Genomic DNA, 26985 nt, shown 5'->3' on the forward strand with positions numbered 1-26985 from the left:
TCAAACTTTTGCAGGCTTCACTTAGTTGCTGCCTTTCAATCAGATAAATTTGCGACCTGAATATTTCCTTCTCCTCTTTCAGTATTCATGAAGGTCGCTTGCGGCTGGACTGGTGGATTTAAGCACTTGTGTAGTTCAGGAAAGACAGATTTATTCCCTGGGAGTTGCGTGTAACTTACAACCTACATATTTCTGGCCCCTCCCCTGCTTTCCCCATCCTTTTTTCTGTCTTTGGATTTAGAAGGCATCATGATTTTCCCCCCCTGGTTTGCTGGTAGTACAACGTTAAGGAGCTTGGGTTTAAAATATTGATCTAGCTTCTCCCACAAAGACTTTGGTTGTTGAGTTTTGCAGCTTGGTATGGCTGACTGAAAGTGGTCTGGGTTGAAGTGGTCTGGGTTGAATTTGCTTAATAGGATGTTTCACTCCCCACGAGTCAATTTTTATCCACTTTATCAAGTTACTTATTGATTACAGCTCTTGTCATGTGCACATTGGTTTGCTGGGAAACTTACATGTTTTGTTTCTTGCTTAGAGTAGGCTAGGAATGTCGCGAAGTCTAGTTCACCTGGCACCCCAGATTCCCTCATGTTTAAAGAGGACTCCATTCTGTCTTAGGCACTTGGCTCAGAATTGCAAGAACGACATTGGTCGTCTTGAGTAGGAACACAAATAAGAAGTTTGTGGGTTTCTTTTTTTTTTTCCATTTATTTTACTTTCTGGTAATGTGTAGAGGCAATCTCATTCTTTCTTTCTTTCTTTTTTTTTTGAGACAGAGTCTTGCTCTGTCACCCAGGCTGGAGTGCAGTGGCATGATCTCGGCTCACTGAAACCTCCGCCTCCTGGGTTCAAGCGATTCTCGTGCCTTGGCCTCCTGAGAGGCTGGGATTGCAGGTGTGTGCCACCATGCCGGGCTAATTTTTGTATCGTTTGTAGTGATGGGGTTTCACCATGTTGGACAGGCTGAGGCAATCTCATTCTTGAGTAAAGGAAATAAAAGGAATGTACTGGAGCCGAAATTTTGGACTGGACAAGGGGAATAGAACAGAAACAAGTAAAGCTAACTGGTCAAGTTCAGGAGAGGATGGGGCTGGGTGTTTCATGCCTAAGAAGAAAGTGAGTTGGAGAAAGGAAGGATAATAAGCTTTCTGCTTTTGTACCTTAGGCCTGGCCAGCTTTTCAAACATCTTCACTGTCTTTAATTTGCTATCAGATATGGAAAAGTCCATCATGAAAGCAGTGGACTCTAATGAGCTTGATTTAGAAGATTTGGAATGCCTCAGTAGGTAATGTATTTCCCCAATTATTGGGGTTATTGCTGCCAAAGGAACAAAGAGCACCTAGGAACACACTAAAAATGGAAACATATATTTCTCTTGAATCTCAGCTTTGTATGTGCGAATGTTATTTCTAAGCCCAAGTCCAAGCAGAATAGTAAAGTTGTCTTTAGTGCTATCTTATCTCCATTTCTTTACATAACTCAAAGTAGTGAATGATGTTACCCAGAATGTACATAATTTGACATTTATTTATATTAAATTGAGAAAACTTTATTATTATTACTATTTGAGACAGAGTTTTTCTCTCGTTGCCCAGGCTGGAGTGCAATGGCACGATCTCGGCTCACTGCAACCTCCACTTGCTGGTTTCAAGTGATTCTCCTGCCTCAGCCTCCCGAGTAGCTAGGATTACAGGTGTCTGCCACCACCCCCGGCTATTTTTTTTTTGTTTTTAGTAGAGATGGGGTTTCACCATGTTGGCCAGGCTGGTCTAGAACTCCTGACCTCAGGTGATCCACCCGCCTCAGCCTCCCAAAGTGCTGGGATTACAGGTGTGAGCCACCGCACCCGGCCAGAGAAAACATTATTTTATGTTATTAGTGTTTTCTTCTCTCAAAGTGTCAGCAACTAGAGGGCAGGCTTTGTACCTAGGAGGTACCAGCAATGAATATTCACTGTTACAGGCTGTCCAGTCTCAACACCTTTCTTTGTTTTGGAGAAATCCAAGTACACTAGCCAGCCTCTGAGAAAGCCGACACTGACCCCTGTCCCTTGTCTTCATGCTCTTGTATTGCCCCTTCTCACGTTGTGCCAGGGTTATTCTGTGTGACCAATAGCAAATGGCAGAAGTGAGGGTATGTGAGTATGAGGCTAGGTTATAGAAGACATTGTGGCTTCTGCTTTGCTGTCTCGGATCCCTTGCTCTGAGGAAAACCAGCTGCCGTGTTATGAGTGCACCCCAGCAGCTTGCTGGACAGGTCTACACGGTGAGGCACCAAGGCCTTCTCCCAACAACTAGCTGACCATGTGAGTGAACCACCTGGGAAGTGCATCCTTCAGCCTCTGTAAGCTTCTAGATGACCACAGCCCCGCCCAGCTTCTTATCTGCAACTTCATGAGAGACTCTGAGCCAGAACTATCTAGCCAAACTGCTCCCAGAGTCCCAGTTTTCAGAAACTGTGTAGGAGAATGCATATTTATTGTTTTAAGCTGCTAAATTTTGGGGTGATTTGTTGCATAGCAATAGATAGTTAATACATGAAGGAAGGCATGTCCCATCTCCCACAGTGCAAGCCAGAGGATGGTAGAAATTTTCTCTCCCAGCTTGGCACTAACTGGGACTAACTGGCAGTTCTTGGGCATGCAACCTTAGCTAAGCCAATTAGATATTTACGCTTGGGTTTGTAATCTATGGTGGGCCAATCAAATGCTTGTTTTTGAGACTGACTCAGAGTCATAATAAAACAGAGGCCAGTTTAGAATTATCTCCTCCAGCAGCAGCAATAGCAGCAAATGGTGTCTCTAGTTGGTGGGGCCCTTGCGTGGTGCACGGTGTCTGTAGCCTGATTTTGCCATGGCATAATTTTGGATGTTGTTCTGCCTGTTTAGCCTCTGTTTGTTTCCCCCTGTTTTCAGAGTTGCATTATCTAGCCTTCCTAGTAATCCCTCCAATCCCTCCAATGAACTCATTTTTATTTAAGTTAAACCAAATTAGTTTATATTTTATGCAACCAGGAACCGTGACTACGGCAGCATAGACGTACATTTTTATAACGATGGTGGGATCTTCTTTCTCAATGCGTCCATTGCACTGAACGCATGCTAGGCACACAGTGGGTGATGGGTAGATCTTTGTGGATTGTAGATCTAGTTAGTGAGTGTCTTTTTTTGTGTGTGTGACTCTATGATTTATTAGCAGCTTTGTGGAAATGGCAATGTAGTACTTGCTTTAAAGGAGTTTATAATCTAGACTAGAGATTGCTCACCGCCTGTAGCAATCTGGCCCAGGGATGTGGTGAGAAGAGGTCTCTCTCTCTGGAGGCTGAGCCACTCCACCTATTAGCTGTACAATTCGGGAAAAGTTTGACATCTCAGAGTTTCATTTATCTCACTGGCAATATCGCAACCCTTACCACACTGGCTTGCTGTGAGATTAGATCAGGTAACGTGTGAAAAGAGCACACTGCAGTCAAGGAAGGTCATTACTGAGCACTTACTGCTAAGCTCTGGTTCAGGGCTGGGCTGCCTTGCTCTGATAAATGAATGGTGAAATCTTGATCATCACTCACCTTTACTTCTGCTCAGTTTCCTTATCTGAAAGATGAGCAAGTGGGATTGGAACTGTGGTTTTCAAACCTTTGTTTGTTTCTTCTCTTGAAAAACAAAATCGTATATCGACTTCAACATGAAATAAATGGTATTTTATTAGCATGGATTTTAAAAATTAATTTGTCTATTGTAAACTCAGTCATGGAGAACAATGGGGGCTATTTTGATGAATGTAAACATTTGAAATTAGGATGCTGGATAACATTTGCAATCCAGGCTTACATATTAAATTTAATTCTGCAAATTATTTTGGATGTACATCAATAAGAAACTCCTGTTTTATCTACATATGTAGTTGCAAATGGTAATTGTTTTCAATAGCACATTTTGTAGTCTCAGTCTAGTTAAACAGAGAAGGCAGGAGAAGCTTTGGTATGAAGACTGCACGAACAGGAGCTCCTGGAAGTACATGGTGATGTGCAGTGGGTTTAAGTGTGGTCTCCACCCCACGTAGGTGTGTTTGTGGAATCCTAGGGGAAGTAATTTACAACCTCCTGGAAAATAGATGATGCTATGGCTCATTTCAGCTCCCAGGTTTAGTGGATCTAAGGATTGACACAAGGTTGATATCTACGTAACACCAGTCAGTCATCTCTTTAACTTACAAAAGTAGTACGCGAACATATGCTCACTGCAAACAATTCAAACAACACAGAAGCATAAAGAATGAAAAGAATTTAACCCATGTGACCACTTCCCCTTATGTCTAGTTCCTTTCCCTTTTCTCTGGATCTTGTTGGTTGCTGTGCATTCACACACATACACACATAGGCTGTTTCTATTCACATAAATGGGATCATACTATATGTGTTATTCTGTGACCTTCTTCTCTCTCTCTCCCAACAACATCTCTTGGCAGGCATTCTATGAGAAAAGCTCTACCTTATCTTTTGAATCTCTTATTTAATATTTTATGATACAAATATTCATAATTCATTGTTCTATTAACAAATATTTAAAATATTTCCTATTTTTGTTATTATAAGCCGTGTTCTAATAATCACCCTTGTGTAGATATCTTTGCTGGTCTCTCAGTAGAATAAGTTCTGAAAATTGGAATTGCTCCATCAAAAGGAATGTACATATATTTTAAAATTTGATATATGGTCCAATTGCCCTTCCAAAAATCTGTGCCAATTTATACTCCACCAAGGATACACGAGAGGGCTTTTTGCCTACACTTCTGTCAGCATTGAATATTTTTCCTCTTATTAATTTCTGCCCATTTGATGGGTAAAAAAATCTTATTTTTGGGGGGCAGAGTCTTGCTGTATTGCCCAGGCTGGAGTGAAGTGGTGCAATCTTGGCTCACTGCAACCTCCACCTCTTGGGTTCAAGCGAGTTCTCATGCCTCAGCCTCCCAAGTAGCTAGGATTACAGGCACACGCCACCACACCTGGCTAATTTTTGTATTTTTGGTAGAGAGATGGTTTTGCCACATATTGGTCAGGCTGGTCTGAAACTCCTGACCTCGAGTGATCTGCCAGCCTTGGCCTCCTGAAGTGCTGGGATTACAGACGTGAGCCAACGTGCCTGGCCCCATATCTCATTTTAATTTACCTTTCTCTTGTTCCTAGTGAAGCTGAGCATCTTTCCATGCTTACTAGCAATGTATGGTTTTATTTTGATGCATTGCCTATGACTTTTGTTTCCCATTTTCCATTGGGATATAATAGCTTTTCAAATTCCTAATTGGTATCTCATGTCTTTTAATCAGTATTTGATATACAAAACTATTCCAGAGAACCAACAAATCTGAATGGATTTCTTGGAATTTGATGCAGCAGCAATTGATCATATAAGTAAAATGTTTCTATTCATTCGTTAGTTTACTCAATGAACATTAAACCGTTATTATTATGTGCTACATATTAGAAAAACTAAAATACCAAAGACAGCCTCCTTAAACTCAAGGTGCCCACAATTGACCTGAAGATAGATACTTTATCAATTATAATATTCTGTGATAAATACTCTGACAAGTATATCTGGGGAACTGTGGGAGTACCAGGTGCACCAGGTGTGGGTTATATGCACAGCATCATACCCTATTAACCCTGAAATTGAGCAGTGGAGGTAGCCATACATTTTTTTATATTAATATTTTTTAGGGAATACATTTTAGAAAGCTGAAATTTCAATAAATGCTTGAAAAGCTGGAGAGGGGGGCTTAGCAGCCTTAGGAAAAAAGAAAGAAAATGGCATGAGAGAAAGCCTTGAGTCTATGATGGGAAAGTTACTTGAGTAAGGGAGTGAGTAGGAGAGATTGGGAGGAATAAAAGGGAAAGTGAGAAAGAAAAAGAAAAGATGATGAATAGTTCCTGAAGTTAAGAGGATCTTAATATAGATATTTATGGAGTTTAGGGGCAAGGAATTATAATGTCAAACAAGTCAAGGAAGAAGACTTCATAACTGCCACTGAAGATTTATGAATGCGGACCATTGCGGGAGGAGGCTGAGTCCCTGAGGGGAATTATATCAGCTTTCCTGGGAAGCAGTCAAGAGCGTGGCTAAAGAATTGAGTTTCAGGGCCAGGGAGAAATAAGCACTTACATTTTTTTTTAAGAGGTGAAAAGGCAACATTTAGTGTTAGAAAGTGGTAGCATAAGGATTAAAGCTGGGAATCATGATAATGGTTGTCTTAGCCTAGAGTTCTCTGAAAGAAGAGCCTGAGGCAAGCAAGGGCTAAAGTGCTGACACTATTTGGGAGGTTCAGGCTTAGGGCTGTGAGGATGAGGAAAAAAAGGAAGTGAGGCAAGATGTGAAACGCCAGTATGCAAAGCATGATTACACTGGTCATTGCTTCTCAATGAACCTCAACAAAACACAGATGCGGCAGGTCACTCAGCAGGTGTGTTTGCTTGGTAGTGGGACTTTTTGGGGAAGGACTGGAAAGAGAAACCACGTATTAAGGAGAAACTACATCTCAGAGTCGTCCACAAAAGAAATAAAGGGTGAAGAGTTTAATGGCCAGCCTCTTTCTTCCTCCTATTTTTCTTGTATCAAATTTCACTCCATGGGCAGTCGATTGCCCTGTGCTCCAGGTTGTGACATTCAGCATTTTATCTGTGTCCAGAAGTTAAAGTGCTGACCAAGAAATGAAGGAGGCAGTTGAGGCAGGATGAGGAGGAGGGCAAGGTGGGTTTTTGTCCTGGCTAATTCTCAGGCTCTGGTCTCCAAATCCCTTAACTGTCATGAACGTTACTCATGTATGTCAGATCGGGACAATGGCAGACCTGGACTCTCATCCCAGTTTGCCACTGACTGGCTGTGTGGCCTTCAGGAGGTGACTTGCTCCTGCTGGTCTCAGCCTCCTTGTCTATAGAATGGGGAAGATGGAGTAGAGGGCCTCTAAGATTCCTCCAACTGTCAATGTTCTTGGTATATCCTTTCTGGTCTTGCCTTGTAGAAGATAGCCAGGTACATTGAAGAGAACCTTGCATTCGTAGGGAGAAAGCCTTGCTTTGAGGCTTGGTTCTGTCAAATACTAGCCATGTGACCTTGGGCAGGTCATTCAGTTTCTTTGGGCTTCAGTTCTCTCATCTGTAAAATGGAAAATTAATACTTGTTCTGCAGCATTGCTGTGACAATGAGTGTACGAGCATATTAACATGTACAGGCATAGTAGACACTCGATAAATATTGGTACAAAGTTTCATAGTGCTGTGAAGGTAACAGTAGGTGATAATGCAAAAGGAATTTATACATTAAAAGCTAAATTCAAATGCAAGTTACTACTTTACTATTAAATGGACAGAATTAAATACGGAGCAGTGGGAAAAATAGTCTAAGCCTGGATATGCAGAAAGCCAAAAGGATTTAATTAAACCAGTGGTAAACTTCAAACCAGACTATGCCACATGAATTTGCCAAGCTCTGGAGTGAACTGAAATAATGAAATGTTGCATTTGTTTGTTGTTGTTATCAAGCTGCTGTGCACTAATTTTTTTTTTGATTTCCAGTAATTCTTGACACACACACACACACACTATATATATATATATAAATGAATTGGTCACATGACTGTGGAGGCTGAGAAGTCCCAGGATCTGCTGTCTGCAAGCTGGAGACCCAGGAAAGCCAGTGGTGTGGTTCAATCTAAGTCTGAAGGCCTGAGAACCAGGAAAGCTGATGGAATAAGTCTCAGTCCAAGCATAGGAGAAGACCAATGTCCCAGCTCAACAGTCACACAGAAGGGGTAAATTCTCCCTTCCTCTGCCTTTTGTTCTATTCAGGCCCTCATGGGGTTGCATAATGCTTGCTCAAACTGGGAAGACAATCTGCTTTACTGAGTTCAAATCTTAATTCTATTCAAATGTCAATCTCTTCCAGAAACACTCTCATAGACACACCCAGAATAGTGTTTAATTAAATATCTGGGCACTTGTTGATCTAGTCAAGTTGACACATAAAATTGACCATCACACCTTGTGAAAACACAGGGAGATGATGGCTATCTTCAAGCCAAGGAGCTAATGTCTCAGAAGAAACCAACCCTACCTTGATCTGGCACATCTAGCCTCCAGAACTGTGAGAAAATAAATTTCTGTTGTTTAAGCCACCCAGTCTGTGATACTTTATAACGAAAGGCCAAACAAACTAGTACAGAGCCTCATTTCCTCAAGACAGAAATCTGAAAAGTAATTTTCCTACTTCCTTCGCAGCTAGAGCACAGGCAGGTGACCTCAGTTCTATCCATTAGAGGCCACGGAGGTAGACTTTGGCTCAGACATGAGCAGTGTGAGAACACAGGCTTAGTGTGGATTCCATTGGTCTGGGGAGGGTGGCAGTGGCTGCATGTCAAACTTGCAGAGCAGATGTGGGTGGCTTTCACCCAGGCAGGGGATGGTCTGTCACAGTCATATATGCACTCAGGACTTGGTGGTATCAGTGTGGGAGGCACACGCTTTTTTTTTTTTTTTTTTTTTTTAACCAGGTAAATCCTGTATCATTGTGCATGGTGTTAAATGTCATTTCTGAAAGCTTAGCCTAGAGCTGTTTCTCCAACCTACCCAAAGAGTTTATAAGCTGTCCAATACCCTTTTAATAAACTCCTTTTGCTTAATCCACCAGAGTCAGCTTCTGTTGCTTGCAATGAGTGACTCTGACAGATCCATATTCTGACGACCTGATGGGTCCCATCTCCATAGCTTGCCTCTTCTCATACTTGATTCAGTCTGTAGTTGCTGGGACCAGTGGTGTCCTTACGAAATTTAATTAGCTCAGGTGGTTCACCATCAAATTGGCCATTCTTCCAGCTAGTCCCTCTCTGATCACAGGCTCTGCTTGTGGTAAGTTCATTTCTAGCCGTTTCGTAATTAAGTCTCTATCCTGTACTCCATGGTTGGTTCTATGTCTTATCCCTACATCCCTTCCTTACATTCTGGGTGAGATTTACAAGGAAGTAGATTTGAAATTGATATAACTCAACCCCAAACTGGGCCTCATGTGGTCCAGCCTTGGCAGAGAATTGCACTCCAAGGAACACAAGTCCAGCAACCAAAAGCAATTAAATTAAATGAAAACTATACTGATATCTCTGGAAAGAATATCAAGGGAAGTAAATATATTTTTTAATGTACAGTAAGACTTAAACATTTCCCCATCTCTGATATTCTCTATATTCCTCAACCCATCAAACTTTTCTCTCTTTCACTTTGATTCTAAACCCAGAGTTGCTTCCATCACCCTGATTTTGTGGGCTCCTTTTTTCCCTCTTCCACCTTTTCTTCTACATTAATCATTTTTATTTTTATCATTTGAGAAAGAATTGGTTAATAATTAGAACTGCTCAGGGACATTGTGGTAGGGTTCTTGCTCTGGGCAGTGTTGGATCAGATGATTTAGAAGCTCCCACTATATCTTAGATCTCAGGTTTAGGGTTGTGCCTCTGTTTTAAACTGGACCACAGTATTGGGTTGAGTTAACATTAACTTTTCCCCTCTTTAGAAATCTCTATGCCAGCGACAGGAAGCCCTGGATCCTGAGCTTGATCTAACTCTTGTCTTGGTTTCAATTTCTTTGAGAAAAGTTGATCTTTTCAACATTCCTGCCCTTTCTGCTATAATCAGTGAGCACAAGGACATGTGTGTTCAAATGCCTCAGGTGCCCCATCAGGGTGTCAACTTCACAACCTAGCTGTGCCAGGCCCTCGCTCGAGGACTCTTTGTTTTGCTCTGAGACAGCATTTTCCAGGGAAGGGATGGGCACTGGCAGATGCTGGAGTAGAGGGAGGCAGTAGCCAGGAGTGTGGATTTCCCAGGTGAGGGGATGGAGCAGGATGGTGGGCTTGCCTGGCCCACCATGCTCCGGGGCAGCAGTGTTGGGGGAGAGGGAGTGCATGTGCTTAGGGGAAGGTGGCTGTGGTCTGAATCTGCTGCTCACACACGAGGAATATTAGTTGGGACCTGTTGGGTTGCAAGTGACAGAATTCAAACTGGTTTGAAAAAAATTTCAAAGGGGAGAGGGATTTCTTGGCTCCCCAAACTGGGAAGAGCAGCCATTGCTGTGTTCAAGAACTCAAGGGACTTGTGAAGCCTTTCTTGCCTCTGCCTCAGTCTCTTTCTGTCTCCCTACCCTTAGCACCTCCTATGTTACTTCATTTTCAATCCCAGTGGGAAGAAATCTTCTTTCTGAGTAGCTTGAACTAAATTCTCAGATTTGAATCTCACTGGCCTGGGTGGAATCACATATTCGCCCCTAAACCAGTCTTGGTGGCTGTGGGATAGAGTATGCCGGGTGGCCACTTTTCCCAAAGGAAAAGTGAAATTTTGTTACCCAAGACAGGGAAATGGATCCTGGACTGACAGAAACAGCTCACATCCACTACAATGTAATATTAGCAGTTAGTGATGTCTCTGAGCCCAGTTTCTTCCTGGGTAAAATTCCCACTTCATAGCGCTGTGGGGAAGACTGTAAATAATAAATGCATAGCAACTGTCACATAGCAGGCCTTCGATAATTAGTAGCAATTCTTATTGTTAGGTGCAGAGAACCAGCTGGCAGGAGGGAGAATTTTACCCAATGGGAAGATGTAAGTGTGTGTGTGTGTGTGCATGTGTTTGTGCACATTTGTGTGTCCATGTGTGCACTCCTGTGTTAGCTATCAGGAGGAGCAGGTGAATAAGCCTTGGTTTCTACCATCACAACCTTTCTTTTCCTTCCCCCTTTGCTCACTCACTGTTTTTCTGTCTTTCCTTCCCACCTATCCTCTCCCTCCCCACCTTCTTTTTCCTTTCATTAGCCATATATACATTCATATATATATATATAAAACAACATGGTAGTTTCTTATTATTTGTGACACGAATTAAATTTTTTTTTACATACTGACTTTATAAAATGATTTGAGATATACACACACATATATGCCATAGAATAATATAAATAGCTGCAGAAATTGGAATGGAGGGAATAAAGAGAAAGTTAAATTAGAAAACAAAGTATATGCCACCCTATCTTATATAGTTGCTACAGGTGGGCTCTATTTACTGAAAATAAAGCTTCATGTTCTCTAGTCATAATTTAAAAATGGAGCAAGTTGCAAATTTTCTATTTTCTCCAAAACAAGCCAAGCAATAAAGTCAGTTGTACGTGGCTGTGCATGTGTGGCTTTTGATCTCGTCCATGGGACAGTGGCTCTTGATAGTAAAAAGGTCCCACCCTAGTTTATAGGGACCAGAGAGAGTATTAAAGACAAATCAAGATGGGGGGCTAACCAACCTCCAGGTAGGCAGGAGAAAGGAAATAGCAAATATCTCTTCTGAGGTCCATAGACTTTTAGAGAGGAAAGAGATTAGTACAATGGAGGTATCTGTGGGAAGGAAAATGCAGGTAAAGATGAAGAGGAAAATCTGCCTTGTTAAAGCCCAGCTCCCCAAAGTATTAGACACATGAATTTGCTTCTGTGCTGAGGCCATCTGTGGCCGTCAGGCTAGCTGTTTTCTGGCTGATACTTTTTGGGAATGTTATTGTTGCTGAGAAAGATAGTTCCATGTCAGAGCTATCAACAGAATGTGGCCATCTGGACAACCATGTATAAACCAACTTATTGCTTCTTGAATGCCACCTACAAACATGACTACCTGTCCTTTCTTGTTTGAAGGGGCACTAACAATACTTGGGAAGATGGAAAGTGAACTGGACATTAAGGCAGAGATGAGGAATTCTGCCTTGCTTCCTGCACTCCATGGAAAAGGGAGGAGGAACACTAGCTGGGAAAGCTGTTGAGCTTGAGCTATGGATGGTCTGATGGGAAGAGGATGTGCACAGACAAGAAGCAGGAAGAGAGGTTTGGGTATAAGTTTAAGCCATAGGTTACCAGATTGCAAAGAACCCTAGCCCGACTCTAAACATGGTGCCAGAGCCCATGAGAGTGCATGAAGGTATATGCTTTTTATCTACTGTCATGTCGTCACAGGAGAGTGAAAGAAGGCTCTATCGATCTCAAAACTCACCCGACCCCTCGTGCCCTGGCTGAGTCTGGGGGATCTTCTCTGGGCCTTGTCCTCCTCTTCTGTAAGTGGGGATCCTAATCCTTGCCTCAAGTCCTTCGTGGGGCTGTTGTGGGAATTCCTTTATTTGGAAAGAATTCACCAAGCTCCGACCACACATTCAGCACTGGGTCAGACACTTCGGGGAATAGGGAACAAGGTTAATTCTCAGCCTTCATCCTTAAAGAACTAACAGATGTGAAGGGACTTTCAAGAGTGGTTAGGGGCCGGGTGTGGTGGGTCACGCCTGTAATCCCAGTACTTTGGGACGCCAAGGCAGTTGGATCACCTGAGGTCAGGAGTTCGAGACCAGCCTGGCCAACATGGTGAACCTACCACCCCCCCGCCCCCACCCGCCAACCTTTACTAAAAATAAAAAATTAGCCACCGGTGGTGGCGGGTGCCTGTAATCCCAGCTATTAGGAAGGCTGAGGCAGAAGAATCGCTTGAACCTGGGAGGTGGAGGTTGCTTGTGAGCCAAGATCGCACCACTGCACCCCAGCCTGGGTGACAGAGTGAGACTCCGTTTCAAAAAAAAAAAAAAAAAAAAAAAAAAAATAGAAAAGAGTGGTTAGGGGTGTTTGTAGACGAGTTATGCAGACTGAGGTAGGTAACCCACCCCACCAGGCCTGGACTCAGTCCTGCTCTGCCCCTCACTGGCCGGGCTGGGAACCTCCTTTCTCCGCCTCACAGACAAAACGAATCAGTGGGAGTAGTTGCTGTAGGGGGTCTCTTCAAGGTCCGGACTATGCTAATCTGACCATTCAAATCCTTGTGAGGTGCAGAGTAGGAACAAAAGCTAACACCTGGAGGTGCTAGGTTTTTAACTATGGCAAAGCCGGGTCATCTTCCCCACCCCAAAACCAAAGGTTCTTCAAAGTGCTGTGACCTTCCAAGTTGGAGCTGTGTGAAAGCAGCCTGGTGGTCTAACCCTGGCTGCCTGCGTCTGGTGCTGGGGGTGGGGGTGGGGGTGGGGGTGGGGGTGGGGGTGGGGGTGGGGGTCGGGGCGGGGGCGGGGGGCGCTGGTCTGTCCTGATTAGGGAAGGTGTGAGCCTGACCTGCTGGCTTCGCTTGCAGGGGGACAGGGGAACTGGCTAGTGTCCTGGTATCAGGTGCAGGGTGTGTCGCCGTGGGCAGTGGGTGCCTCTGCCTTTGGCACAGGCGCCATCTTTGTTGTTTTTCTCTTTAAGGGTCTGATCAAGGCAGCTGGAGACTCAGGGAGACTTTCCACAGCCAAGTGTTTTCGTTTTTGTCTTGGCTGGGCTCCTGGTGCTGTCACTCTCAGTGGCTGCGGGCAGGCCGGTGTTCCAGGAATGTTCTGCGTACCCGGCGGGTCTTCTCCAAGAGCCACCTAAGGGGAGAGTTGAGGGCATTCCCCAAACTGGCGCCCACACTGCCGCTGACCCACAAGCCAGAGGCAAATTCCCGCACCTCGCCCTTCTCACAGCTTGTGCAGTCCGCCTAAAGCAGAAGCTCCCCAGGCGTCCCAGCTTTAAGACAGTGTAAAGAAAAACAGGTGCCCACTGGTCTAGTCACATCCCCTATAAAACGGTTGGAGTCTCTGTGTTTTGTGGGGAAACAGCAGAGGGGGGTTGGACTAATTAGTTTCCTCCCAGGAATCTGATTAAGGGAAGGTTAAGCAGTGTGGGAAAGAAAAGGGAACCGCTATGAAGAACTGTCACCGAGGAGAGGGTTTGAAAGTTAATGGCAGCCCGGAGGCGGAGGAGCGTCCTGACTCAGGCAGTGTTCCAGTAGGGGCCGGAGGCCACCTTGGGGAGGAACGTGCACAGAGGTGACTAATCAACTCGGCAGAGGTTGGAGTAAAAAACCTAGAAAGTTGGCATTGACTCTGAAATTGTTGCAAAGCTGAGATCCAGGAGAGAGGGCAGCTTTTCCTCCCATCTCTACTCTCGTTATTAGCCAGACACAAGATTTGACTCTTATAAATGCCTCTCTACTCCTTTCTTAAAAACATTTTTGTAAATGTGGTAAAATACACATAACGTAAAAGTTGACATTTTAACCACTTTTAAGTGTACAGTTCAGTGGCATTAAGTACATTCACGTTGCTGTGCAATCACCACCATCTATCTCCGGAACGTTTTCATCTTCCCAAGCCGAAACTCTATACTCGTTAATTACTCCGCGTTCTCCCCTCTTCAGCCTCCCTTACTTTTGTTTCCATGAGTTTGACCACTCTAGGTACCTCGTGTAAGTGGAATCATGCAGTATTTATCCTTTTGCAGCTGGCTTATCTCACTTACACAGCATCTTCAGGGCTCATGCATGTGGTAGCCCGTGCCAGAATTTCCTTCCTTCTGAAGACGGAAGAGTATTTCATTATGTGCCTATAGCACACTTTGTTTATCCACTCGTCTGTTATTGGGCATTTAGATTGTTCCCGCTTTTTGGCTATTGTGAATCATGCTCTTGGGAACATAGGTGTACAAATATCTGTTTGAGTCCCTGCTTTTAATGATTTTGAGTATATACCCAGAATTGGAATAGCTCGATCACATGGTAATTCTATGTTTAATTTTTTGAGGCGCTGCCGTGCTGTTTTCCACAGCAGCTGCACCATTGTACACTCCCACCAGCAACACACCAGGGTTCAGTGCCTCTCCTCTTAATGAGCCACCTTCTTTTCAGTACCCTAACACTCAGAGGAAGTCTGACAAGAGATGCCCCGTTGTATTTGCCTCTGCCTGGGCCATCAAAAGAGAGACAGAAGGGCAGTCAGCTCTGTCTGGCCTCAAATGCCAGGAAGCTGGAAGGTAAATAACCCTGGAAGATGCCAATTCCTGTTAGTAGTTGGATGCATTAAACATTTTACAGGAAGAGCCCAGTCACCATCACAAAGGTAGAAGAAAAGAGACGTGGGTCTTCTTTATTTCTATTCTAAGGAGCACCTGTGGCTCTTTAATGCAAGGTTTATTAATTTCATATGTCTCTTTCAGGGCAGGTATCAGTATTTGTGCTTTTTTTTTTTTTTTTTTTTTCCTCTTATAGGCCCTAATGGAGCCAAACACATCTTCAGGACCCAACATTTATTGAACACTTACTATGCACCAGGCATTGTAGAAGTACTTTAAGTTCACCTCCTCCTGAATCCTCTTTACCTTTTGGAAAGCGTGTGTCCCGAGAGTCACCGGAATCAAAAATACCTCTGTAGCCTAACCTCCCTCCCCCATAAAATGCAGTAGAGTATGACCAAAGATTCAAGTGAGCACTGAAGACCCTTAATGAGAATTTCTAAGAATGTGACAATAGGAGGACAATAAACTTCCCTGTAGATTTGGAGGCTGAACTTTTGGACTCTGTCTGACCTTAGGCTGTGTGCCTTTTATTTTCCTGCTTAATCAGTCTTCACTGATTATCTTGCTTCTGCAATGACTCAAGGTTATGTCAATTAGCTGTTTCCTAGCCTGGGTCTTCTGCCTAATTGTCAACTCAACTTAAGACAAAGATCTAAGCAGTGAGTTTATTCTTATTCCTCTCTGGAGTCAGAAACGGGTTATGGAGCTGCCTTCCTGGACCCAGAAGGGAAAAGCATTTCTCTCTGCTTTCTGGACAGGTAGGTCCATCTCTGGCACCCTTGATTTAGTAGATGTGGTTTGTATTCGCTCTTCCTCCCTGGCTCTGACCTTTACCCTCTCTCTTTGCCTGTGTCTCCCAAGGGCACCTAAAATCTGTCTTCCTAAGCATCTGGCATCTCCTGTGTCCATGGTCACTAGGGGCATCCTGGCCTCCCAAGCCTTCAACCTTGGAGTCACCTTTGACTGCTTCCTCTCTCAGACTGTTCCTTTCAGAATGGGCTGGCAATTCTATCTCTGGGATCTGACCTTCTCCAGCCAATGACACAGCCAAGCCTCCCACAGAGTCCAGGCTCTGATCTCCTCACATGCTGATTTCTGGAGCAGCCGCCTTCCTAGAGAGTGTTTTCACCTGCAGCCTCACCCCTCCTGGTACATTCTATAACCAACAGCTAGGCTAATTTTCTCTGAGTGCTATTTTGATTTTGTCACTCGTCCATTCAGAAATCGGCAGGAGCTCCCATTTGCCTCCTACCTTTAATTTAAACTCCTCAGCATGTGTTTGAAGACCTTTGTAAACTTACATTTAACTACCCTCATCTTCTGCAACCTTCTGGCTTCTCATCTTGGCTCATAGGACGTAGGTTGCTAGCTTTGGGGCACGGCTCTCCCCTTGCCCCTCCAAGTCCTGTCTATCCCTATTAAGACACGACAAAGATATTATGAGCAGGGACCTCACCAGGTTTGTTTGACATTATATTCCTATGTCCTGGCTTGTCACGTAATAGGTGCTCAATAAATATTTGTTGAATGAATGAATGTTAAAGACACATCTCTTTGAATAACACTCCTTGCATTAATCAACACACAATGAAAGACTTTGAGCTAAGTGTTTAGGTCACAAGATGAATAAGCTTCTTCTCAAGGAGCTTGCATTTTAGACCTAGAAACATATGCCGCATTTCCTTGATTATAAGATGGATTGAGGCCAGCCATGGTGGCTCATGCCTATAATCCCAGCACTTTGGGAAGCCAAGGCAGGCAGATCACTTGAGGTCAGGAGTTTGAGACCAGCCTGGCCAACATGGTGAAATTCTGTCGTTAGTAAAAATACCAAAATTAGCCAGGCTTGGTCGTGAGCACCTGTAATCCCAGTTACTGGGGAGGCTGAGGCAGGAGAATTGCTTGAACCTGGGAGGTGGAAGTTGGAGTGAGCTGAGATTGCACCACTGCACTCTAGCCCGGGGGACAGAGTAAGACTCCATCTCAAAAAAAAAAAAAAAGAAAAAAGAAAAAAGAAAGATGGATTGATTGTAAGATGCAGTGTTAACTTAAAAGGAGATTTTGGGGATAAAAAAAACTTAAAAGGAGATTTTGGGGATAAAAAAAGATTACCACTTTAATTATACACAATGAATGTTGAGCCTTCATTTCAGAAACTTTGAAATATGAAAAATACAATACATCATAGAATGGAAAAAATAAAGTGCTGCAATATGGGGCTTTGGTGCCGTAATAGAGGGATGTACAAGATTCAGGGGAAGGATCTTTTGTACTCTGTCTGAACTGGATCTTGATTGGTTTCCCAGGTAAGCTGGGGATGGAAGTAGACATCAGTAGGCTCTGAACACTCGCATTTCTACCTCTCAAAGCTGTGTGGCCTGAGACAAATGACTTAATCTCTTTTAACCAAGTTTCCCCTTCTGTGAAATGGAGATAATAATAGAACCTACCTAGTCTCCAGTAGCTGCCATTTACCAAGCAGCTACTATATACCCAGCCTGGGCCAAGTGCTTTATATGTATGTTATTTAATCTTCATTCGTAGAAAGGGTTAGCCTAATCCTGGCACATGGGAAGCACTCACCAAATAGATTGAATTAGTGGATATGAGTTTTGGTTGTTTTAGATGTGGTGTTCTACACCTGTTTGGTGTTCATTCACCCTTTTTCTGGTAACTCAGAATAGAATACCCTTTGGGGAAACATCTCTCCCACTGTCAGTCCATATTGGTGGGGCTGCTCCCTCTGCCCCTCCTTATGGGGCCCAAGGGTGGGTATGTGACCCCATCTTGGCCAATGAGACTGTTGAGTCTCCAGGCAGCAGTGATTGGTTCAGAGATGGTGCCTGACCACAGGCTGTTGGAACTAGGAAGAGGACGCTGCTGTCTGCTGGGGTTGGTAGATTAGTGGGAAGTGAGTCTGAAGCAGCAGAGGGCATCTTGTATGATATCCTGAGCACATGGCTAGTGGGAGGGCTGGCAGGAAGGAGATGGATCCTAACGGGGCATTCGGATTCAGCTGTACCGGTTCACCCCACGGCTTTTCAGGGAACGTTTCAGTTACTTGAGTCAATACATTTCCTTTTATATTTTTTGGCATAAACTTGTTTTGCTTGGAATGTTATACTTTACGCAAAAAGTCTTCTTTGACACAAAGAGAAATTATTCTTATTATAATTATATAATTTTTATAATGATACTTAGTGTGTTCTTGGAGGGTGAGAAGAAACTCAGTGTAACTGGAGCATAGGGGGGTGTGTGTGCAGAGCTGAGCCCATGTTAGGCACTTGAATATCTTAGCTACAGTAAGCTTAGCTACCCATGAACAGCCTATGGGTTAACTAATTGCGCAAGACTGGAAACATGTTCAGAGAAAGAGTGGGGCACCTGACGGTTATTGGAAGACTTCCGAAGAGGGAGGCTAGCTTGCTGGGTGGCTGAATTTTTTAGGACTTGGGAAATGTGAGAGTTGAGCCTGTTGGGAAGACTGTGCCCTGGCAAGGAGTAGGGGGGATGGTGCTGCAGGGAGCCAGTGAGCCATGCAGACAGAGGGCAACACAAATGTATGCAGGACAAAGGGAGTAAACGAGAGCGGAGGGAACACGGAGCAGGCAGACCAGTCTGGGAGCTAACACCAAGGACTTTGGGTCTAGCCTGGAAGTGGGGGCCAGGTCCTCCCTCCTCAGCAGCGCCTCACTACGGATGCACCATATTTTATTCTGTGAAGCAGGATTGTCAAGCAGTTGCTTGTGTGCTTTCTTTGATCTTCTAATGTGTCTTTCACTCTTCTACATTAGAGTGTGAGCTCCCCGGTAGGAAGCAGTTCTGTCTTTTATTTTTGTGCCATTTTAGCATGGTGGTGGCTAATGCTCAGCCCCTGGAGTGGTCTGCCTGGGTTTAAGTCCTGGTCCAGCACTTGCCAGCCTTGACCCCTTGGGCAAATCACTCATTCTCTCGGTGTCTCAGTTTCTCATCTGTAAGATGGGAATACTAAGAGTATCTTTCTCAGAGAGGTGCTGGGAACATTAAATGAGCCAGTACCTAGCACGTAGTAAGGCTATATAGTGTAAGCTATTCATTATTGTTATTATTATTTCCACCGTACAATGTTCATTGGAGAATATTAAATTTTTCAAAAGAGGAAGCCCCGGCAGAATGGTGAAGTGCCTTGCCTAAGGCATTAACTGATTGGGGGAGGATAAGTACATTTTTGCAGTCCAGGGAGGAACCTTAACATCTCTAACCAAAACCTAGCTTGAGGGTGTTTGTGGGGGGATTTGGTTTTTCTCTTGATCCCCCTGCCTATTCAATCCTTTGGAGTTCCATCACTGACATCACCTGTCTGGGGGCTGCTGGTGGGGCAGAGGCCCTGATTGGCATAGCAGTGAAATGCCCCCTGGCTGTGGTCTTGGCTTGAGTTTCCTCTCCTTCTCAGGCTGCTTTTATTTGGAATACCAGGAGCATCTGTTTGCAGGGTTTCCAGCACTCCTGGGCTCTCATAGCAATGGGGTCTTACTGATATACGGTCCCTCGTTACTACATGGAAAGACGATTTACCTAACAGATGGGCTCTTTTGAATATTTATGTCAGGACACATCTGTTCTGGGCTTGAAAGTTTAATAAAGCTTTTCATTTTCTGAAGCGCTTGTGAAGCCTGTCTGTGGTGAGCTGACAGCCCCCCTGGGTCAGCTCCTCTGTGGTGACTCTGGGGCATGGGGTCCAGCTTGGGTCACCCCATTTGGCAGGCAGCCACACTCTCCAAACCCCTCCTCCCTCTCTGTGGCAAAGGACAGCGGGGCTGAGGGGCCAGAGACAGTTGGTGGGGTGCTAACTCAGTGGACCAGTTGAACATGTCCACAGAGAGGAAAGTAGCAACAGTTATTTGCAAAGGGGAAAGTGTTTTCTTGCACTTTGTTTGTCCTTGGGAAGACAGGTTCTCTGTGATTGGGTAAATGATGGAGCAGCCTCGCCCTGTCTAGGTCTTTGCCCCTATAGCATACTGGGGTTCCTGGGGGTGTCTACATGGATGTGTAGAAAGAGGGCTTGGACAACAACACTCTCAAAGCTGGGATGTCCGAGGAGTATGCCTTGAGTACCTCAGCTTCTTAGTTCTTGCAGCCCATTTGGTCCTCTCCTGACCTTGGTGGCATTCTCTAATGGCTCCACCCACAAAGGCCCTGTTCCAGTCCAAACAGGCCCCCAAGAAAGAATAATAAAGGAATATCAAAACATGCCATGCAAACATGCATTGAATTCTTACCTGTGCCCAGCACTGTGCTAAACTTTTTATCTTTATTATCATTCTGGTTATCACCGCAACACCAAGGTAAGAACTCTTATTACCTCAATTTTCCAGATGAAGGAATTGAGGCACAGAGAATTTAATTGACTTGCCTAAAGTCACACAATTACTAAGTGGGGCAGCCAGGATTTGAACCCAGGCCATCTTACACCAGAATCTAAAGTGTCAATGCTTTATTGGCTACTGATTGGAATCTGTCAGCCAGTATTTTCTAAAATGTGTTTTTTGGAATGTAAGGTGCCATGATCAGGTAACTCCAAATGCTATTTCTCTTCAAGTGAATTTAAAATACACATCAATCTCATAAAGGCTCTGAGGAGTTCTGCTGTAAAGAAACTTTGCATAATGATGTTTTCAGAATTTCTTTGAGCACACAAATTTCTTTTCCTTAATACCAATTAACAAAGCTACTTTGGGAAACGTTATTGAAAATGAGTGTTGGCTTAAAGTCTTCTCTCTCCAAGGTACACTTGCTCGGAACGAAGTTCAAAACTTTAAGTCTGAGAAAGCAGGAGGATGGGAGTGGGTAGAAATCATATTGATGGATTTTAAGTATCATTAGGTAGAGAGAATTTTCTTAAGGGGGAAACTTTAAAAAGCACTGGATTACTGTGTACATACATTTTTAATTTTTATTTTAAAACTGTTTTAAGCTTACAGAAATTTGCAGAAATAGTACAAAGAACTCCTGTACATCCTTTGCCCTGAGACCCCACTCAAGTTTTGCCGATGTCCCAGAGACATCCTTTATAGCAGTGGATCCGTGCCGGGGTCACAGGTAGCACTCAGTCATTGTGTCCCTCTAGGCTCTTTCAATCTGGAACTGTTCCTCTGTTTTTCTTTGACTTTTATGACTCTGAAAATTCTGAAGTAAACAGGAAAGTTATTATGTAGAATGTCCCTCAATTTGTGTTGGTTCCTTGTTTCCTCTTGATGAGACCAAAGTTATGTATTTTGAGTCAAAATATCAGGAATGGTGGGTTCTTTCCATTGAAATCTATGGGTGGTAGGTACACGATGTGGATTTGACCCGCTACTGGTAGTATTAACTTTGATCCCTTGACTAAAATGGTGTCTGCAGATTTCTCTGCTGTAAAGATACCATCCTCCCACCTTGGCATTTAATACATGTCTTGTGGGAGGTATTTTGATACTGTGTAAAATCCCATCTCTCTCTCCACCTTAAACCATTAGTTTAGCCTCGCTTGATGTTTCCTGCCTGAATTAATTGTTATTATGGTGGTTGTCAAGTGGTGAATTTCTAATGTCGTGGCTCCTTCTGCATTTAGTAGTTGTCTTTCTACTACAAAGAAAAGCTTTCCTTCTCCCCATTTATTTATTCATATAAAAATATCTATCTATGTATAGATTTATGGATTTCAATTTTATTCAATGGCTATAATCTGTTAGTATGATAATTTATTTTGATGCTCTAAGTTTTCCAGATTTGGCCATTGGGAGCCCATCCAAACTGGCTCCTATATTTCTGACACGTCCCCATCATTCTTGAAGCACTTCCTTACTTTTTGGCAGCACTAGATGTTCCAGGCTCATCTTCCACTTTCTCTGCCCCAGCCCTGGAATCAATGATTTCTCCAAGAAGCCCTGGCTTCTTTTAGTGAAGAATTATATTTAGAAATGAAGATTCGGGTAATAGATGTGCTCATTGCTAGTGGGATGTCACTGCTCTCGGGCCCTATCGATGGGTAGAGGTAGGGAGTTACACATTATATAATATATATAAACTAACATCTATATTTCATATAATATAGACATAATCTGTTTCTATATATTGAACTCCATGAATTCATACCGATGCTTCCAATTCCAATCCAACATCAGGAGGTACATTCTAGTTTTCTTCCTTTCTATATTTGTACCTTCCTTTTTGATTGTAAGAAAGCTGGCTCTTAGCTCAGTCTCCCTCTACATAGTTAATCCCTCAGTTCCCTGATTCCTGCCTCCCTTGCGTGTGGGCCCTGACACCAGGGTGTGTCTGCATCTCCCAGGGCCACTATCTCATTTAGGCCTGCCTAATGGTGCTTTGATGAAAAAAGGAAAAAAAGAAGGAAGAAGGGAGGGAGGAAGTCAGGTAGGGAAAGGGGAAAGAAGGAAGGAAGCTAATAAAGGAAAAGAGAGGAATAGAATGGGAGGAGAGCTATATGGATTTTGAAACTTGATTTTTATATTCAAGATGAAAAAATTGGGGTTTGTGGTAAAGTCATTATCCTTTGATACTCTGAGATATTCATTTATTGTAGTCTTAGTATTCCCATGGGCAGAACTGAGACCAATAAGTAGAAATTAATGGGTGGCATATTTCACCCTAGTATCAAAAATATTATCTAGTCAGACTTACTCAACGATAGAATGGTCTTGGTTGCAAAGAAATGAGCTCCCTGTCAAGAGATGAGTTCATTTAGGCACCATAGGACCATCAGCCAGAGTGACATTGCATTGGGAAAGAAGTTGGTTAAACGTCCATAGTTCTATGTTGAGGTGGTAATAGTGGCATAGCTGGAGGCCAGCATTTGATCAGGCTACCCAAGGAGCAGTGACACCAAACACCCCTATGGGTGGCTAAGGAGGCAGCCAGACAGCAGTGAGGGGGTCTCCCAGAGTCCTCTGGGGATGCAGCCCCGGAGCTGCACAGCACAAGCTGCACCTACGTGAAGAGCTATGTGTGTATTTGCAGGATGAATTTGCATCTCGAGATGAAACATAGCTCCAGATTGAGACAGCTCTTAGTTCCAGTGCCAACAATCTAATGTTGGCTTCAAAGGAGAAACTAAAAATGTTCTTCTTGGAGCAAGTTCTGGCCCTTATATTTCTTTTATTGTTCCCAAATGGACCACATACTGGGGCACCTTTGTGATTGCCTAACAACAGTAACCTGTCAAACACAACAAGCAAAGTCCTAAATGGTTTCTTCTCAGGAGCAAATCCCAGCATCAGATGTTTCCATTCTCTTGTCTCCTCATTTTTACAGCCCCCACCCAATCAATCTACCCAGAACTTTACCTTAAAGAAGCTGGAGTTTTGACATCTTTTCAAATGTTCAAACAAACTGAAGTCAGAAAGTTTTTTTTTTTTTTTTTTTTGAGATGGAGTCTTGCTCTGTTGACCAGGCTGGAGTGCAGTGGCACAATCTCAGCTCACTGCAACCTCTGCCTCCTAGGTTCAAGCGATTCTCCTGCCTCAGCCTCCCTAATAGCTGGGATTACAGGCGCCCACCACCACGTCCAGCTAATTTTTGTATTTTTTGTAGAGACGTGGTTTTGCCATGTTGGCCAGGCTGATCTCGAACTCCTGACCTCAGGCGATCCGCCCACCTCAGACTCCCAAAGTGCTGGGATTACAGGCATGAGCCACCCTGCCCAGCCCGAAAGTTCTATATAGTGCCAGAAAACATGCCATCAGCTGCCTGCCTCCAGCAACAGTTCAACAAGCATTTGTTGAGGGTCTTTCTTGTGCCCAGCTGCTATGCAAGAATGAAACAAGATATCCAGGGTCCCATTTCACAGAGGAAAAAACTGAGGCAGAATCACAAACAATAACAACTGGCAGCATCAGGCTGCATCTTCCCTTCTCACTTCCCACAGAGTGAAGTAGTTGCCTTGTTGCTGGGGAGGAATGGAGTGGGGCTTACCCACCTTCCCAAAGTAAAACTAAATGTCAGCTTTCATGACTGTCTTTTTTTTTTTTTTCTTTTGGGATGGAGTTTCACTCTTTTTGCCCAGGCTGGAGTGAAATGGCATGATCTCGGCTCACCACAACCTCTGCCTCCCAGGTTCAAGTGATTCTCCTGCCTCAGCCTCCTGAGTAGCTGGGATTACAGGCATGCGCCACCACACCTGGCTAATTTTGTATTTTTAGTAGAGATGGAGTTTCTCCAAGTTGGTCAGGCTGGTCTCAAACCCCCGACCTCAGGTGATCTATCTGCCTCGGCCTCCCAAAGTGCTGGGATTACAGGCATGAGCCACTGTGCCCGGCCTCATGACTGTCTTTTGTTTTCCCAATGAAGGGGCGGAAATCAGAACCATTTTGGACAGGCAGTCAAATCTTGACAACACCCTGCATCTGGACACTTCTTTAATACAAAGTCTGATGCTTGCTAGCTGGTTTGTCTTCACGTATATGTAAATGTTTATGTGCATATATATTTTTCAGTATCAAGTGTTTGTGCTTTGGATGCATTACTTGTAGGCGGGCAGCCATTTTAGTCACTGTGAATCCTGAAGAACAAGCTGTACCATCAGGGAATAGCAGTAATAGTGGCTGTTTATTGAGCAAATTGCTGCACGCTAGTTCGTATGTGCCTTGTCTCCTTAAACCTTCACAACGGCAGAATGAGGGGGGTTAATTTGCAGAGGAGGAAACTGAGGCACAGAGAGGTTGTCATGTATTTCACCCAAAGCCCCACAACTAGAAAGTGGGAGGGTCACGTTTTAAACTCAGACTTCTCTGACTCCGAAAGGGCAATGCCTACCATGCAACGCTGCCCCTTACAGAGCATTGTCCCCAAAGCCGGTGGCCAAATATTGGGAGCAGTTATAATGGGTGGCAATGGGCCACAAGGGGGCCCGAAGAAATAGGGTGCATAAGAGTTAAAAAAAAACTTCTGCCGGGGAGGTTTTTCATGTGTCTTTTCCAAAGGTCAGAGTTCAGATTTATGAGGTTGGAATATTCATGAGGTGCCGCAGTGTGCAATACCAGGGTACTAGGGAGACAATTTTCCCGTGGCATAAATTAACCTAAGGTGAGGGCTCCTCCGAACTAAGGTTCAGATATGGCAGATGTGATCAAAGCAACCACACAACCCACCTGGGAGGCTGGGGATTCACATCTCAAAATAGTAATTAATGATTTGGAACATGGCAGTGCCTATTTTCGTCCATCTGCCCAACCGTCTATCCATCCATCCATTTGTTATCAGCTATTTGCAAAACCTCCTACTGGAGCCAAAAGAGGTATACCAAAACCAAGCCAAACCAAACCAACCAAATGAATCCCTCATAAGTAGCTTTGGATCAAGTTGGGGAGAGATAGACATATGCAAGAATAGATAAACCGCAGGGCAAAGGTGTGTCTGATTAAGTATCAAAATGAGTGATCCAGATAGCAGATGTTCTGCAGGGACCCAGAAGAGGGAGGTCTTTGAGGATGTGGTGTGGCCGGTCTGGCCATGTCGGTTGCCTTCAGGGATTATTGTGGCACCCTTGAGACTGCCTGGAGTCCAGTTAGTTTCCATCTTGATACAAGATGAATGGAAAAATTGGATTTATGGTCTGCCCACTGCTGAGATACAGTTTGGGTCTCTTTAGACCTGTTTGGAAATGAGGTGCCACCTTTAATCTTAAATATCAGTTAGGTGGTTCCAAAAGATTGAAAGAAGATGAAACAAACAGGTATTCATTTGAGGAAGGACTGTTACTCTTCATTCCCTGGTTTGACTGCCAAAATATAATGAGAGTTTGTTTGTATGTCCAACCAAAGCCAGAAAACCCAGCTACAAAACCAGATCTCCAGCAGCTGACTCCCCTGGCTTTTATGACCTCAGGGGCTATGAGGTTGACAGTAGGGGACCCAGACACCGAGGAGGCCTTGAATGAGAGGTGCAGACATATGTGATATAATTAGGCAGCCTTTATGAGGCAAGCAGGGAGAAGTCATTAGGGCTGCTGTTTAACAAAGGGAAACTTCCTGCTCCCACCCCCCCGTTAAAGAGCTGCTTTTCAACTGTGTTGGGCTTCTTTGATCCCTGAAGTCTCCTGATGTTTTGCTCACATCCTGTCATGATATTTAATGATGCTTCATGTGTGCACCAGGAGCACGGCCCAACTTAGCATCATCTGGGGAAAGGCATTGTAACATGGCAAGGTTTTGATGTGATTCCTTGCATGGCCAGGTTAGTGAGGCGGCTATGCAGACACCAGTGAGTGTATTGATTCCACTTGGCAGTGGAATCCATTGAAAGGAATGATGGAGAGACCAAGATATTGCCAAGTTCTTCTGCAGTTCTTTATTTTGGGATCTATATATCAGCTGGTACACTGCTCAGGAGAAGAGAGAAGGAATTTGGTCTTGGACAGTCTTCTTTCAAAAGGCTGAAATGTTCTGGAGGAATGGGTCTCTGCCAACCTATGGTCATACACATGAACAGCTGCTAAAAGGAAGACGAATAGGCACTTAGGGACCACCCAGCCCATACCAGATATATGAATCCTACAAAATTCGTGGTAGGCACTGTTCGTGTATTCTGCTGTTTGCCTAAATACCTCTGGAGAAGAGGAACTTACCACCATAAGGCAGCACAGCTATTGTGCTTGTTCTGATGGCTTAAAAGCTCCTCTTCATTTAGTTGTTTCTTGCAGCTTCTAACTGGGCCAGAGTGCTGCACTTGGTGGCTACACAGAACTGGGCTCTTCTTGGTCAGAGTTCTTAAAAAACTCAAAGGCACTTGGGGAGTGTCCCCTGAGTATTCTCATTTCCAAGTAAGAACCCCTATTTCTGCTACTGTTCCTCCCATTCCCTGGTTTCTATACCCTTGTATCTGATGGTCCTTCTTGGAAGGTCCTGGTAGGACAACTTTACTACCCTTGTTCTTTAAATGCTGATTAACTTTGCTTTGGCCTTTTTGGTAGATATTAAGCCCAAATCTCTGAAATGGGGCAAGAATCTCAACATACAAAGGCAATAATTTGGATTTCCTGTAAAGTTCCAGAATGAATCCCAGTTCATATTCCAAGTGTTGGCATCTGTTAACATT

At 43.9% G+C, this 26985-nt stretch overlaps 2 annotated features.

Moving 5' to 3' along the window:
- Nucleotides 10608-14040: an enhancer, noted in NCBI's record as "VISTA enhancer hs1507". NCBI's record gives its function as "enhancer in: limb[3/5]" and the evidence as "EXISTENCE:transgenic organism evidence [ECO:0001131][PMID:17130149]".
- Nucleotides 22831-23332: an enhancer, noted in NCBI's record as "NANOG hESC enhancer chr2:220726091-220726592 (GRCh37/hg19 assembly coordinates)". NCBI's record gives its function as "activates a minimal SCP1, AML or CMV promoter by ChIP-STARR-seq in primed H9 embryonic stem cells {active_cell/tissue: H9 hESC(primed)}" and the evidence as "EXISTENCE:reporter gene assay evidence [ECO:0000049][PMID:30033119]".

Source organism: Homo sapiens, chromosome 2, assembly GCF_000001405.40.
Source record: "Homo sapiens chromosome 2, GRCh38.p14 Primary Assembly".
In the NCBI taxonomy this organism is placed as follows: Eukaryota; Metazoa; Chordata; class Mammalia; order Primates; family Hominidae; genus Homo; species Homo sapiens.